The sequence below is a fragment of the Homo sapiens genome, chromosome 2 (genome assembly GCF_000001405.40).
Source record: "Homo sapiens chromosome 2, GRCh38.p14 Primary Assembly".
NCBI lineage: Eukaryota > Metazoa > Chordata > Mammalia > Primates > Hominidae > Homo > Homo sapiens.
The window spans coordinates 233,475,526-233,491,717 of NC_000002.12; the positions used below are offsets into that span (position 1 = coordinate 233,475,526).

At 48.2% G+C, this 16,192-nt stretch overlaps 1 protein-coding gene across 26 annotated transcripts in view; it reads right to left on the reverse strand.

The window, feature by feature from the left end:
* The window catches only part of USP40 (ubiquitin specific peptidase 40), a 91,257-nt gene continuing 75,065 nt past the window's right edge, over window positions 1-16,192 (reverse strand). For 13 of the 26 annotated variants that reach the window (NR_168054.1, NM_001382295.1, XM_047444889.1 and 10 more), the window contains 7 exons: window positions 15,642-15,736; window positions 13,840-13,958; window positions 12,714-12,779; window positions 10,242-10,452; window positions 10,006-10,101; window positions 5,678-5,772; window positions 1-1,978 (listed from right to left, as the gene is read on the reverse strand). Coding sequence is in view for 18 of the 26 variants with exons in the window: in NM_001382295.1 (NP_001369224.1) it covers window positions 1,867-1,978; window positions 5,678-5,772; window positions 10,006-10,101; window positions 10,242-10,452; window positions 12,714-12,779; window positions 13,840-13,958; window positions 15,642-15,736 (794 nt within the window). In the remaining 8 variants the exon portion in view is untranslated. Of the gene's footprint in view, window positions 1,979-4,597; window positions 5,354-5,677; window positions 5,773-10,005; window positions 10,102-10,241; window positions 10,453-12,155; window positions 12,492-12,713; window positions 12,780-13,839; window positions 13,959-14,136; window positions 14,374-15,506; window positions 15,547-15,641; window positions 15,737-16,192 lie in introns of those variants that run through there. The other 13 variants (NR_168052.1, NR_168053.1, NR_168049.1 and 10 more) reach the window with 9 other exon arrangements.

A 16,192-nucleotide genomic window follows, 5' to 3' on the forward strand; every position in this document is an offset into this window, starting at 1 on the left:
TACAACTTTAAAAAATGGTTTATTTTTTTCTTTAACAAAATCGTACAGCTTTCTCAATCCCCAAATTAAAAAAACAGAAAACAGGAAGAAAGGGAAGAAGGCAAAGGCCACACGCACAGGCCGGCCCGGCCGCACGCGCCTGCTGGACGGCACTTCAGGGCACAACCCACACGCGTCTTTGGACTTGCAGACATTCCGCGAGGCTTCTGGCCTCTCGAAGGCAAAGCTTTTCAGCGATTTCATTAATATTTCATTACGCTGAGATGAGATGAAGGCAGATGCTACAGAAATATGTCAGTTAAAGCCACAGAAACAGAACAGCTTAAGAAGGGCTGGGCGCCCAGCTCGTCACGACACTTACAGCTCTGGCGTCATCAGAAGCCTCTATCATCTCCCTCTGCAAAGACGCAGTCTACACCCAGTGCGAGTCTCCTGAGCGGGGTTAGTGTTTGGGAGTGGGAGGCAGCTGCTAGTCAGAGTTGGGTCCTTAGGGCGCAGTGCTTCACGGAAACGCACAGACGTCTATGGCAGACGCTCTCAGACACGTGTGCAGAAGCGACGTGGCTTCTGTCTGGTAGGGGTTTGGACTGTTGGGAGGAGTATGAGGGACAAAGCAGGCCGCTGGCTCAGCATCAGCTTGTTGGAAAAGGGTCACAGGCAGGGGAGCGCCTGACTCCAGCGGTGTCCTTTCTGCCCTCACACTTCAGTGCTGCTTCCCATCAGTGACGGGGCTGACGAGAAACCGTGAGGCCCAGGTGACAAGCAGGCTCAGGACATGCGACACCGTCTTCGGGATGCTGCTTTCCGCTAAGCTGCTGTCTGGGAAAGTCAACCGTCTATGTCCCAAATCAATCAACTCAGTGACACAGGTACTATTATTTCTCACAAATGCCAATTAAATCCTTTAAGTTGAATAGAAATCTGGGTTGGATTAAGTGGGAAAACCCTTCCTTAGTTTACATTTTCTTTTTCTCAGGTGTTTTCATTGAGGCTACTCAGGAAACCGGTCAGGCTGCCCAGGACACCTGGAACCTGGGCTATGCCAGGCCTGTCTGCCACAGCCCTGCCTGCCCCGCTTCCACACAGGAAGAGAGGCTGAGGCGCTGTGGACGGCAGCAGCTGCAGTCCTCGGGATCCAAGGACCTTCTGATCACAGAGCACCCAGGATAAGCTGGACCCTTGGCCTGCGGGCTGACGTGCAGCGGCTGCCCTTGCTTAGCAGAGCGACTCACCCTCGGAGGCCACCCTGTGTGGCTCCTCCTCGTGGAAAGAGCTCGCACTTTTCAGCATCGCAGTTTTAACTCAGACCAAAGGGCAGACGTGGAGCATGCGGGGCCGGAACGAGTGGGGGAAATGAAGTCCTGAAAGCAGACCCCACTTCTGCCCGCTTCTGCTCAGCACCAGCGCGGTGGCGCAGTGGCCTGAGACACTGTGAGAAGCCGGTCAGGGCGAACGAGAGTCATCTGAACACGGAGGAAAGTGGCTGGCCTGACCCCACACACCTCCCACAGCGGAGCAACGGCATGCCGCTGCCTCCATACCTGCGGTTCACGCACACGTTGTGCATTTTCTGGTTAAAAGAAAAAAAAAGGCAGCTGGGGCCGGGTGCTGTGTGAGAGAGCCCAGCACCTACTGGCAGCTGGGTGGGCGACATCCAGAGCTGCACCAGCCCCCGTGGCTGCCACGTGTTGCAGAGCTAAGTGACTACATGCACTGGCCAGGCCTCAGAGGAGCCGTCCCTGTGCTCAAAGGAAGCAGAGGATTTGGGATTGGAGGCGCCAGGCAGCCAGTCCCCATGCCCAGGAAACCCACGTTTGTGGCATCAGCCGGAGAGTTCATCGGGAGTAGAGCCGTGCAGCGGCGCGGTTATCTGAAGCTCCCCACGTGGATGGAGAGAGAAGTTTCCGGGGCTCGGGGCCGGGCAGGCGTCTCTGCACTGGAGAGGATGTAGCTGCTCTGCTCATGGAGGGCTTCTTGGCTGCAGAGACACAGACACTGTCATTGACTCATGGATGCAGTGGGTGTCAGGGTGAGGGGTTCACGAAGACCCCAAAATACACTCCAATTTTATAGGCCACAAGGACGTGCATTTGCAATTGCACAGACAGATCTCAGCCACCTGCCAGAGGGCCCCATTTTGCCCTGCCACCAGCCCTGTGCCAGGCCAGCTGCCTTCCCCTGCTTTGCACTGGCAGCACGGCATGGTTCAGGCTCTGGGGCTTTCTCAATCTGCTCAGTGAAAATGCCTCACAGCTGAGAAACCTTCCTTTCCGTACTTTTTAAACGGAAGAATAACATCCGGAGTGCACACACACCGCTGCACGACTCGTCACAATCACGCACACCTGTGTGACATGATGCAGAGGCTGCCTCTGCCCCTTCAGTCTTGCCCGGAGAGACAGGCCACTTGGCATCCCACTCAAGAGACTGGCTTTCGCTGTGACCCCCCCGGCCCATGGCACCGTGCGGCAGGTGCTCTGCGGCCGGGTGCTTTGGCCCAGCCTGATGTGTGTGGCCCACCCACGCTGCACAGTCCCCGACAGAAAGCCTCCGCGGCCCACCCGCCATCCCACTGCTGAGCAGCCTTTCCTTCAATACGGCCAGAATCTGGCCATGGTGAATGAAGCTGCCTTGTAATTTTGGGGATATCCTGGTAGGCACGCGTCCATGTTTTTGAGGAGTAGAAGGCTGGGTACCGGGAAGTGCCCAGCAGATGCAGCAGGAGGTACTGTCCTGAGTTCCAAAGTGTCTGTGCCAATTCCACACCCACACACAGGGGATGAGAGCCCCAGTGACTCTGCGTCCTCAACACACGAGTCTTTCCCACTTTAGTGTTGCCAATAGGCATGTGGCACTGTCTCGGAGTAGCTTGAATTTACACCTCTTTTATCATGAGTGAATGGCTGAGCATATTTTTATATGCTGGCAAGCGATTTGCAGTTCCTTTTCTATGAACTGTTCATACCCTTTACCTACATTTTTATTGGATTGGTTGTCTTTTTCTTATTTGCAGATAATGTTTACAGCCATACCCTCTGACCTAGCAATTCCATTGCAGAAATCTGTCCTACAGATATATCCACATCTGTACTGCAAAATGGTGAATATACAAGGTTATTCACTGTGATGGTGACAGATTGGCGACAGCCTGGAAGTGTGTGAGGTGGGCATAAGTCACCTAAGCTGTGGTCTACCCATGCATCAGGACACCACGCTCCCACCATGAGACGGGGCAGCTGAGTACACACTGGTACATGAAAACAGCAAGGTTACCAAGAAAGTTCTGGTCAAAAGAGAAAGGAAAGCTTCTCTGCCCCTATACACAGGTCTCTGAAAGGACATGCAGGTGACGGTCACGCTGGCCCATCTAGGAGAGGCTGTGTACCTGGGGAGGGAGGTGCAGAGATTTCTCAGTGAACCTCTTTGGTGGCTTTTGAAAGCACGTGACACTATTAACTCCAAAAAAAAATGAAAAACAATATAGTAAGTGGTTACATCACGGTGTTCAGAAGACACCAGTGGTCTACTGTTGTGCAAACAGCACGTGTGAGGCTTAAGATGAGGTTTTCAGTGACAGCACCATGAATTTTTAAAATGTGCTATCTCAAACAGCACAGATGACAATGGAGCTCCCAGGGCCTGGGGAACTATTGGATGTCTCCAAATAACAGCCCTGGTGACAACTAAGGCTTTGACAGAGAGGATGCTTGGAGAAGTCTGATGAAGTCAGTGGCATCACATTTAAATGTGGAAACAGAGCCAGGCGCGGTGGCTCACGCCTGTAATCCCAGTACTTTGGGAGGCCAAGGCGGGCTGATCACAAGGTCAAGAGATTGAGACCATCCTGGCCAACATGGTGAAACCTCGTCTCTACTAAAAATACAAAAATTAGCTGGGCATAGTGGTGCACGCCTGTAGTACCAGCTACTTGGGAGACTGAGGCAGGAGAATCGCTTGAACCCGGGAGGCGGAGGTTGAAGTGGGTTGAGATCGTGCCACTGCACTCCAGCCTGGCGACAAGGTGGGACTCCGTCGCAAAAAAAAAAAAAAATTTGGAAAACAGTATTTTAGTGTCTATGTATTAGACACGTATAGAATTTTACGTGTGTGTGTGTGTGTGTGTGTGTGTGTGTGTCTGACCTTTAAACAGGAAAACCCCCGAAGCAGCCAGCGCTGCAGCCCCTCTCCCATATCCCAGGTCTCTGAGGGCACCAGGACCTGAGGGCTGCAGAGCTGCGAATGGGGGTGAGGCCAGGCACAGGTCCTTTGCTATCCTGGGGCTCCCGGGGCCCTTAGGGAGTCAGCAAAGGCCACGGGACAGTGCTGTCCGGAAAGCAGCCCAGACCCCGGAGAGCAGAGAGGAAGGGGCCCTGGCCCAGGGGCCGTGCTGCTTGCGGAGCTCACACAGTCCCTACCCACCTCCATCTTCACTCAGGGAGTCTCCTCGCTCGGCTCCCTGATTCTACTTCTACCTCCTAGAATCCACTCACCACAAAGCAGCCAGTGATCATGTCAACGCGTCCCCCTTCACACCCTCCAGCAGCCTCTAACCACGCTCGAACCCCCACTTCTGCCATGGTCACGAGGTCACGCTCACCTGCCCTGCCACCTCCACCTGGGACCTCTCTTCCCCAGACGCCCCCAGTGGCAGAGGGCATGCAGTCCCTGGCACACGGGCAGCCAAGATACTGAGGGGCAGAAGAAGGGGATTAGGGTGAGCGGGGCCAGATCAGGCTCCTACAGTCATTTGGGCAGGGAAAGATGAAATCCACCAGGGCAGAAGCAGTCAGAATAGGACAAAAGGCAGATTTAGGAGAGACCCAGAGTCCGTGAGTCGGGGAGTGGGGGAGGATGAGGACGCCTGGGGGCCTCTGGTGAGGCCTGCATGGAGCTGATGCCACGGGCAGGTCCTGGGACTTGTGGTGGTGGTGAGCTGAGCAGTGCGAACTGAGCCTCACGCCCCAGTTCCGGGTGTGTGGCCTGGAGGCCTGAAGACAGCCGGCTGGGCACAGAGCCTGTGGCTTGGCCTGACTGCAAGCAGCACCTGCTTCCTCCAGTGGCAGTAAGTGCAGAGCCAGACAACGGCAGGCGGCGCCAGAGCTGGGAGGAGGGAGAGAGGCAAGGAGTCCTGAGCAGAGGTAGAAGATGGCCTGTGGCAGCGGAGTCCTGGCGGCCAGGGGTCAGGCAGTGTCCTGGAGGAAGTGGGGTAGCAGCCCTGAAGCCACAGCAGCGTCCCCTGGAGTGGCCAGGCTCTCGGGAACCTTGGAGAGAGCGGGAGAAGGACAGGGAGCCCGCAGCAGGGCTGAGGTGGCAGCAAGACGGGGTGGTTCTGGAGACCTGAGGGTGTGGGAACCTGAAGGGAAAGCCAAGAGCCAGGCAGAGGGTGAGGCTGCGGGTGAGGAGGAAGGAGGGGGACCGGGGGGCCATGGATCTGCGGGCTCCTCATCGTGCCTCTGCAGTTCACGTGGACTTCACCTGTTCCACAGAAAGCTCCAGGAGGAGGCACTCAAGGAGAGGAAAGAACGCAGGGGGCGGAGAAGGACCCGCCACACTGGTGTGCTTTGTGTGCACTCTGAATCAACAAGAGTTTCCGGTCCCTCTCAGTTTCCAAGCAGGAATAAGAGAGAGTCAGAGAGGGCTCTGTCAGCTGCACATCTGTGCAGACCCCAGCAATTACCTTTTCCTTCTCCCCAGGGCCCGTTGTTTCTGCTTTTCTTTTCCAGTGTCATCTCTGATTGTACTGAAATCATCATCGTCGTCAATCAGGAGATTCTACATTTCAAAAGAAGTAATGAGCAGTGTTTTCTGACATCTTTTTAGCCTACATTTAAAAGAGGCATGTCTAAAAAACTACCTATATTGACAAAAGAACAGATTCAAATTTACATAAACTAGGTGAATAACTGATTAAAAAAAATCCTCTTGCTCGATGAAAACAAACTCGGGGGTGGCAAGAAGAGCTCCACAAGGGAAATTAATTTCCAGCCATCTGACCTTTCCCTTCAGCTCCAGAAGCTTCCACTGCGAGTGGCCAAACAGGGGGACTTTAAAGGGCTACCAGGCAACATGAAGACAGAGATCATCCACATCAGCACACGGATCTCTCATCGCCGCGCCAGAAGCACAGCTGTTTACTTTATAGACACCGTCAGTCTGTTCTCGCCTCTGTATTTCTATAGCCAGCCCCAGCTTCTGAGAGGCATGAACTTGGCTTTACTTCCTTGGCATCTCCTGCAAGCCTTAACTGCAGGGTTTCACAAACACAGGCTGCTCCCTGCATTCCCGTGACTGGGCAAGCCTCCTCCCTTTCCCAGGACTCGCAGGTTGTTTTCCACACGCATGTTATTTCCGTAAATGCTGTCCACAGGGAGGACGCCTCAGGGGCGCACCCAGGAAGGGAAGTGCGTGTCAGGAAAGACACAGCGCAGGGTCTGCGGGGTTCGTGCTGGGGGTTGCCCAGGTCGCTGGCTGCATTCTCAGGTGTGGAGGTGGGGAGCTGGCTCTGGCTAGACATCACAGTTAAACTCTTCAATGACTGAGAGATTAACCAGGCTCTGCAGGAGGGTCTGGCTACTTCTCAGTGCCCCGCCTCTGCTAGGAACATGTCGTGTCAAGTATTATAATCTCTATTCTAATACACTCATATGATAAGCCAATATTATAATTTCTGTTCCAGTAAATTGCACATGACACAAGTTTTAAAAATTGTGGGGAGGCTGAGGCTGGGGAATGGGAGACTGAGGCAGAAGAGTCACTTGAACTCGGGAGGTGGAGGTTCCAGTGAGTCAAGATTGCGCCACTGTACTCCAGCCTGGGTGACAGAGTGAGACTCTGTCTCAAAAAAAAAAAAAAATCTGTCAATTTCTTTCCACTTCATTCTATTACCTGTAATGCTTCAGTGAGCATATCCATGTGTCTCCACACACCTATGGGCGAGTTATTCTAGGGAATACAGCTAGGAGTGGGACTCCTTGGTTGTATCGACGGGCATCTGTGTACTAAACTAACACCAAACTGCTCTCCAGAGTAGCTGTACCAACTTGTGTTCCCACTGGAGTTTTTTTTTTTTGTTTTTTTTTTTTTGACACACGGTCTGACTCTGCCACCCTGGCTGGAGTGCAGTGGCATGATCTCAGCTCACTACAACCTCCACCTCCTGGGGTCAAGTGATCCTCCTGCCTTAGCCACCCAAGAAGCTGGGTTTTGCCATGTTGCCCTGGCTGGTCTCAAACTCCCGAGTGCAAGTGATCTGCCTGCCTTGGCCTCCCAGAGCGTTGGGATTACAGGCGTGAGCCACTGCGCCTGGCCATGTGTGTGGGAGTTCCCACGGTCTCACTAGCAAGGGCAGCTTCCTGCTGGATTCTGCAGCTCCCTGCAATTGGCAAGCTGATTCTCTTTTCATGTGTTTCCTGGCCATTCTCTTCTCCTCTGTGAACTGCCAGTGATAACCTTGGCCCACTTCTCTATTGGGTTATTTTTTGATAACAGATTTGCAGAAGATCTGCTGTCTATGCTGGAGAATAACCCTCTGCTGTGTTACTGCGTATGTCGCTCCCCTGTTTGTGACTTCCCTTTTCACTGTTTTTTATGATTTCCTTTGACGAACAAAAGTTCTCACTTCTAATGTAATGAAATTTACTGATTCTTTCATGGTTTGCACTTTCTGTTTAAGAAATCCTTCTTGCCAGGCATGGTGGCTCACGCCTGTAATCCCAGCTCTTTGGGAGGCTGAGGCAGGTGAACTGCCTGAACTCTCCTGTTCAAGACCAGCCTGGGCAACACGGCATAACCCCGTCTCTACCAAAAATACAAAAAATTAGCCGGGCATAATGGCACGTGCCTGTGGTCCCAGCTACTTGGGAGGCTAACGTGGGAGGATCGCTTGAGCCCGTGAGGCAGAGGTTACAGTGAGTGGAAATCATGCTGCTGCACTCCAACCTGGGTGACGGAGTGAGACCCCATCTCAAAAAATAAAAAAAAGAAATCCTTAACTTGAAGTCAAAGATTTTCTTATGTCTTCTAAAGATTGAAAATGAGTGGTTTTCACATTTAAGTCTTCAACTGGATTGCCTGTTGACTATGGTGTGAGCAGAGGTAAGTACAGGTTTTATGGGGCCTGACGCTGACTCAAGTCAAGCATACCTAATCCAGAAATCCGAAACTCAATGGAGCATTTCAGATTTCAAATTTTTGGATTAGGGAGGCTCGACCGTTAAGTATAATGCAAATATTCCAAAACCCGAAAAAACCTGAAATCTGAGACAGTTCTGGTCCCAAGCATCTTGAATCATAGATACTCAACTTGTATAAAATTAATTTTAGGGTTATGAAAATTAATGAATATGATTTTCCTACATAGATAACTAATTTTCCAGCACCATTCATTGAATAACCCATTTTTTAATGTTGCCTCAAGTATCTGTCACATTTCCTCACGTGTGTGATTCTGTTTCTGGGCTTTCCACCCTGTCCATGAGCCTGTTTGTCTACCCGTGCCTCCATGCTGCACTGTCGCCACAGCTGTGATCAGTCAACACTTGGTGAGGCAAGGACCCTGTCCTTTTTCTTCTCGCAGTGAGCCAAGATCGTACCACTGCACTCCAGCCTGGGCAACAGAGCGAGATACTGTCTCAACAACAACAACAAAAGAAAATCTTAGCTCTTTGGCCCTTTGCTCTAGTGTACGAATTTATGCTATTAATTTTATTTAATCTAATCTATATGGATTTTCATTGGAATTTCACTGAATTTACAGACTTGGGAAGAACTGATACCTTTACTATTGTGAGGTTTGCCTTCCAAGAACATGACGTGGCTCTAACAGAAGCTTTCTTTAACACTGCTAAGTATGTTTTTGTATATTCTCCAGAAGGTTTTATACTGATCTTGGACCCTTTCGAACTCCTCTATCAGATCTAATCATTTATCTGTGTAGTCTTTTGAATCTCCTTTTTTTTTTTTTCTTTTTTTTTGGAGACAGGATCTCTGTTGCCTGGGCTGCAGTGCAGTGGCACGATCTTGGCTCACTGCAACATCCACCTCCCTAGCTCATCCCTAGCGATCCTCCTACCTCAGCCTCCTGAGTAGCTGGGACTACAGGTGTGTGCTACCACACCCGGCTAATTTTTGTATTTTTTTGTAGAGACCAGGTTTCACTATGTTGTCCAGGCTGGTCTCGAACTCCTGGGCTCAAGTGATCCACCCATCTCAGCCTCCCAAAGTGTTGGCATTACAGGCATGAGCCACCGTGCCCAGCCTTGAATCTCCTTTGTAAGAACGGTTTTATATTTTCCTTTTCAAATTTCTTTTACTGCTCTTTCAATTTTTATTTACTTTTCTTTTGGCAGTGAGGGAGGGAATTCATTGCCCGTGTTGTTTAGTACAGTGTTAAACAGAAGGGGCGGTTAGGGGAATCCTTACTTTGGGTCCCACTTTAATGAAAATGGAAGCTTTTGAAGCTGGCACAGTGTTGCTGCTAGAGGTTTTGGGTATATGTGCATCAGGTTAAGGCGTTTCCTTCTATTCCTAGTTTGCTCTAAGTTCTTTTTTAAAGTCATGAACACTGGGTTTTTAATAATAAGTTTTATTTTATGCTTTTTCTGCATCTCTTGAGTCTGGCAGGATTATTTCTTACATAATCTATTCTTCACGCTGCCCTCCTCACATTCCTTGGATAACCTACTGTGACGTCATGTCACACAGTAGTGTTTTTAAAAACATACTTGCTGGGCTGAACTTGCTAGTATTTTACTTAGAATTTTCCATGTATGGTCAGAAGTGAAACTGGTCTGTATTTTATTTTAGTGTCCTTGGCAGTTTGGATACTGAGGTTTCAGTGGCCTTGTAAAGTCAGTTGTCCAGTTTTCCCTCTTTTTTATCCATTCTCTGAAACAATTTGTATAAAATGGGATAATCTGTGTCTTGAAGATTCAATAAAACGTCTCTATAAAATCATGTGACCCTCGTGTCTTCTCAAAGTGGTAAATTTGCTGTTAAACAACTTACCTTAACACCAATAGTATCTCCGTCTTTCAAGTAATACGGTGCCCCTTGCAAATAATCTTGTTTTTTTTTCTTTTTCCTCTTGGTTATTTGTTGGTTCTATGGGAAAATCAAACATCTTAAATAAGCAAAACTCAACCTCAAGTTCTCACTAACTTCTCTATCACTGTGAAAAATTGCATAACCTCATTGCTATGCCGGTAAGCCCCAATTTCTCTGAGACAGCCCCACAACTTTACCCAGCTAGATATCGGAAGCCACTCGAACTTTTCGGGAAAGTATTTGGCAATTTCAATCTTCTCCACGGGAAGACGATAGAAATCGGCAACTCTCTGCCTCAGGGAGCCGGCAGTCCCACCCTGGGCCGCGTTCCACACCAGGTCCAGGGCAGGGGCATAGGTCCTCTCACCAGGGATGCGCACCTGTGTCCTCAGCAGCACGTCCTGGGGGCTGTACCAGAAAACCGTCAAGCGCCAGATCCAAACAAACAAACAAAACCACGTGGTAACTTGAGGCATAATGGGCAAAGCTTCTCCTCCAGCTTTTCTGGTTTTTATAAGGAGAGATTTTTCCCTAAATGCTGGATGCTAGTGGCAAACTCTTATTCCGCATTTCAATTTCCTTTAATCTTGGAATGAAGAGCGGAAGTGAAGATCCCATTCTCGGTACACAGCAGAGCCCCCCCAGACGTGGTAGGGAACTTCCTCAGTGCGGGAGAAAAGGAAAGAGGTGGCGGCCTGAGCAGGTACGATGTGGCAGAGAGGGACAGGGTGAGAGAGGCCTGGCTTGATAGCCCGGCAGCTGGCAGGAGGAGAGCGGGCTCGAGGTAGGCAGTTATGCCCTTGACTCTGGGGGCTGTAAATGTGAGCTGCCATGAGGTAGCCAGGGAGAAGAACCTGAGGGTTGGAATTGGGAAGAGAGACACAGGGCGGGTGAGACACAAGGCTGCAGCTGTGGGAGATGGGAAACCTTAGCAGGAGGAGCAGAAAGAACAACACTCAGCAAGGCAGGAGGAACAGGGACGTGCAGAGGTCAGCACAGGCCATGGAGGAAAAGCTATAGATAAGAACTGGAAGGCAGCAAGGGGAAATGAAGACTGGTTCTTAGGATGCTGAGACAATGAATGATTTTTAGATGTACTTCTATTAAGTGTTTTTACCATCAAAAGAGGTCACGCAATGAGAAATGAAATGACTGGAAGAAAGAGAGTTCACGGGAAGATGTGGGCCCATGGAATCAGGGGAGTGCAGAGTGCAAGAGCAGAGGCTGCACAGCCCCATGTCCCCATGGGGGAGGGGGCTGCTGGCCAGGGAGTGAGGCCAAGGCCTGGAGCCCAGCACAGTGCGGCCAGAGGACAGAAAGGGCATCGGCACAGATGCTGAAGTTGCCAAGGAGGGGACAGAGGCTGCTGGAGAGAAACAGGAGGGACTAGAGGCCTCCTTGAGAGCAGGAGTGCCCTGGAAGTTGGTCAAGGACAGAAAAGCCCATGGAAGGGGCCTGAGGAGGCACACAGCTGCTCTTCAAAAGGGCAAAAGGCACTGTGCCTATCAAAACCTGACACAGCTTACAACCATTGTGACAAAGGGTCAAAATCATAAAGAGCTCACACAAATTCCAAGAGAGCTTTTCCTTTAGACTTCATTACAGAAGCAGTCAAAATACACGAAATAACTCAATCATGCACTCACAAAATACAGTTTGCAAAAATGCCTGAACTTATTAGTCATCAAAGCACTGGAGAATATGAGAACAAGATAATCATCTTTCATTTATCAATTTAGGAAATACCTAGACGATGAAATAGTCAATGCTGGTTTGTGGGTGAGGTAAAATAAATACTCATATTCTGGAACAACTTGCCTGAAGAAATATTTAACTATTTTAAGAGGTTTAAAATGTCCACACCATTTGATCCTGGAATTCCCCTCCAGGAAACTATTTCTGGTTGTACAACTTGTATTAAGAATGTGTTTTTATAAAAACACTAAAATTAAATACATGTTAGACATGGTTGAAAGATAACTTTCTCATATAACAAGCAGACCACAAGAAGGATACTCATATCATAATAGGTAGAGCAAATCTTAATAGTTCATGATATTTACAAAAGGACTTGTAAAATATTTTCCTACAGCGAAAAAAGAACAAGATGGTTTGATTGTAGACAATTTTGGGTGTATCTTTATTTAATAAATAATTATTGACTATGACATGGGCACAATTACTATTCTAGGTATTAAGGATATAGCAATGAATAAACCAAGTACTTATATTCTAGTAGTGGGAGACAGATACTAACAAATAAATCAGTAAGTACAGATATGTCAGGTGATACTAGGATGAAGAAAGTAGAATAAGGGGGCAGAGCGACGGGAGCAATGATGAATCCGTTGGATGGCAGACTGTCCGAACACACTGACAACAGCTGCGGGTGGGCCTCTTGCTGACACTTCAGGGCCATCATGGGGTCAATATGCACCTGGTGATTACTGAAAAATTAATTCTCCCTTACTGTTTTTATGGGAGAATAAGTCCCAAGTTTTAGATGCCCAGACATACAAACATATTTCTAGCACACACTCTGTTTCAAGTTGCTAGGCTACTTAGAAGCAGTGAAAAAAATGCTACACTATGAAGTTGTTAAAGCTTCAAAAGGCAAACGAGGTTAAGATACGTGTGTGTCACTTCAGATGCACAGGAGAATTTCTTACCCCAAGTTTTCGCCTTTCTGAAGGGGCTCTAAGCAGATCTCAATTCTCCGTCCTAGTTTATATTCCCTGATAATAAGTGAAACAAGATAATATTGAGTGACATAACATTTAATTTTCTTGAATTTTTTTTCCCCCAATTTTAAGCTTTTTTCTTAAGCAAAGAATTGTTTTCTGAGTACTTATAAGAACACCCAAACTTTTGGAAAAGGGGAAAAAATGAGAATCCTTGCTGCGGTGATTATTTAGATACTTGAGTCATTTCTTACTAAACATGTAGGTCTGGCTCTGGGAAGATGGCCAAACTGCCAAAGAAATTTCCCTCTGTTCAGCCGGGGTTAAGATTCTCATGCCAGTCACTTTGGGGTGGTAATCAGAACCGATTAAAAGCAGCCTTGGCCAGGCACAGTGGCTCACGCCAGTAACCCAGCACTTTGGGAGGCCAAGGTGGAAGGATTGCTTGAGGCTAGGAGTTCGCGACCAGACTGGGCAACATAGGGAGACCTCGTCAAAACAAAAAATTAGCCTGGTGTCGTGGCACATGCCTGAGGTCCCAGCTACACAGGAGGCTGAGGTGGGAGGATCACTTGAGCCCAGGAGGTTGAGGCTGTAGTTGAGCCATGATCACGCCACTGCACTCCAGCCTGGGCGACAGAGCCAGACCCTGTCTATTAAGAAAAGAAAGAAAAGGAAAGAAAGGAAAGAAAGAAAAGAAAGAAACGAGAAAGAAAGAAACAAAAAGCCTCAAGGCTGCTTTTTGCAAAGGAAATGACCCAAACCTGCTCTTTAAGTTCAAAGTTTCAGGAGGAGGATCAGCTGAATCCAACATTTCTGAGTGAGAAACAGCCACTCCTACTTTCCATCTCACTCCAAATGCTTTTAAGTTATATAATGTCACAGTCACTGGAGCACAGAAAAAATATACAACACTACATTTATACTTAACATGGAAAACTGAAGGCCTGCTGGAGTTTATGATGAAAAGTGTCACCCAAGTCACAAGCGTGGCATGACCAGGAATGGGCTTTGTTGTCACTCAGCTCAGAAGACTGATTCCTCCTCCATCCCTCACACCAGCCAGTGCGTCAGCAGCAGAGAGGGACAGTGTTGCGTCCAGCAAGGAACCTACCTGAGTGGCTGCCGGTCAGTTCGTAAAAGCCTGCCTGGGCGCTTCCTCTCCACCGTCCAGGCTCTGAGGTGGGCTGGGGACGGGACACCGAACTCCAGGAAAGGAGGCAAGGTCATGGCCTAGAAAAAGAAACAGACATTTCTCCAACGGTTTTAAAAAGCACTCTTCAAAACATACTGTTTTAGAAAAAAAAAATGAAGCACTACACAGTGGCATCTCAAGGAAAGAGTATCTCAAGTAATGATAACATCATTTTAAAAGTCACAGGAATCTCTCTCTCTCTTAAATAACACTAACCCTGAGCGGTCTTCATATTCCTCTGCACTGAAATCACCTTGAGAAAGAAGTGAGTTCCCTCTCTCTAAATCTGAGTCAAAAGCTTCTTTTTAATCATCATGTTTAAAAAATGAAACTTTGGAATTAACTTCCATGGGAGTAGAATTCACCAGGGCAGAGCCCGCTCTAACAGTACAACAAGGGACACAACAGCAGCCTTCTTCCGTGCCCGCGCAATCCTCCACCAGTGTCTGCTCTGCCGATGAATCAGCTTTTGATTCTGAAGTATTTCAAAATCTTTGGCTGCAATCAGTAGGCCCAAACTGCTTGTTCTAATTCTGAAGGGATCACTTTAAGCCCCTACTGATATACTTAGGTTGGAGCCTCTAAAATTACCAATATTCATCCATTTTTTGACCTAAAAACAGCAATTTTATATCTTTCAACTTAATATGAGAAAAAAAAAGTATTTTCCCATTTGTTCTCATGAGAATAAGGCTGTCTGCTTTTTCTTTTCTCCTTTTTTTTTTTTTTTTTTTTTGAGACGGAGTCTCACTCTGTCACCCAGCCTGAAGTGCAGTGGCGCAATCTCAGCTCATTGCAACCTCCCTGTCCTGGGTTCAAGTGATTCTCCTGCCTCAGCCTCCGAGTAGCTGGGATTACAGGTGCCTGCCACCGTGCCAGGTGAATTTTTTTTTTTTTTGTACTTTTAGCAGAGACAGGGTTTTACCATGTTGGCCAGGTTGGTCCCAAACTCCTGACCTCAAGTGATCCGCCTGCCTCAGACTCCTAAAGTGCTGGGATTATAGGCATGAGCCACCACACCCAGCCAACATATGCTTTTTCTTGAGGAAGGGTATTTCATATACTGAGGGCGCACAAAAGCCAAACATCAACAACCACTAGTCATATATAGGCCCCACATTTTCTCCTCTAAGAGAAGAAAGGAATGCTCATTTCAGTCCAACAGTAGGCGGATGCTGCTTCAACACTGCATTGTGCTTAATCCAGCCCTTCCATTTGGATAAAACCCTCCTTCTCTGTGAACGTTAATGCATAAGAAACAACACAATACCTAGAATATCTAGTTTAGCATCCTAACATAAAAGCTGGAGTTCTAACCTCCTGGAAAACTGGTAACACAGCTTTTCATAACAACATTTAACATATGGGTCACAATGGTACACAAACAATGTAAATAAAGGGATAAAGTGAATGCTTTACAAATGTTCCAAGAAACCATGTTTCCCTAAAAAAATAAAAATGAACAAAAGCCGCAAGTCACTGAGGATAGATTGAAACAAAAGCACAGCATGCCTGTCAGAGGAGGGACCAGTGAGGCCACGAGGAGCCGTCTGCACCATGGGCGTGTATTGCCTGCGGGTACTTACCACTGAACATGGCATATGACAAATGCCATATCAGAACAGACTGTAATTGAGGGAAAAGGAGATAGAAGAATATATTAATATCTCACTGGAAGAAGCCACATTACCACTAAGTTATGGTGCAGGAAGAAGTCTGACCTGAGACTTCAGCTCCGCCAGCGTGGCATCTTCTGAGATCTCTATGTCTCCCAAGTAGAGGAGAGAAACTTGCGCAGGCTCGTTCCCAGAAGCACCTTCCAAAGGACAGAGCGGGATGTTTACAAGGAACTTGAAACTTATTTTGTGTTTCTGAAATACATTGCCATGTTTTGATATTGTAAATAGGTTATTAAAATTCCACTCAAGAGCCTCTGCATCCAAGTCTTATGAGGAGGCCCTGTCTGGCAGGTAAGCAGGCAGGGACATGTTGTCGGCAGACTCCCAAGAGGTCTGTGACACTTATGCCCCTACCTTGAATGTACTTTTCCACATTCTCTCCTTCCTCAAAGAGGACTTTTTGGGTAGGATATGCTGGCTGCATTCTGTATGTTAGCTTCCTGTTTCCTCATCATAACACTCATCCCAACCTGTTCCTCGTGTGTGTGTGTGTGTGTGTGTGTGTGTGTGTCTGTCTGTCTGTGTGCAGGCGTTTAATCTGCCTCCTCAAAACAACAGAATTTTCAAGAGGAGGCAGGCCATCTATCTTGTCT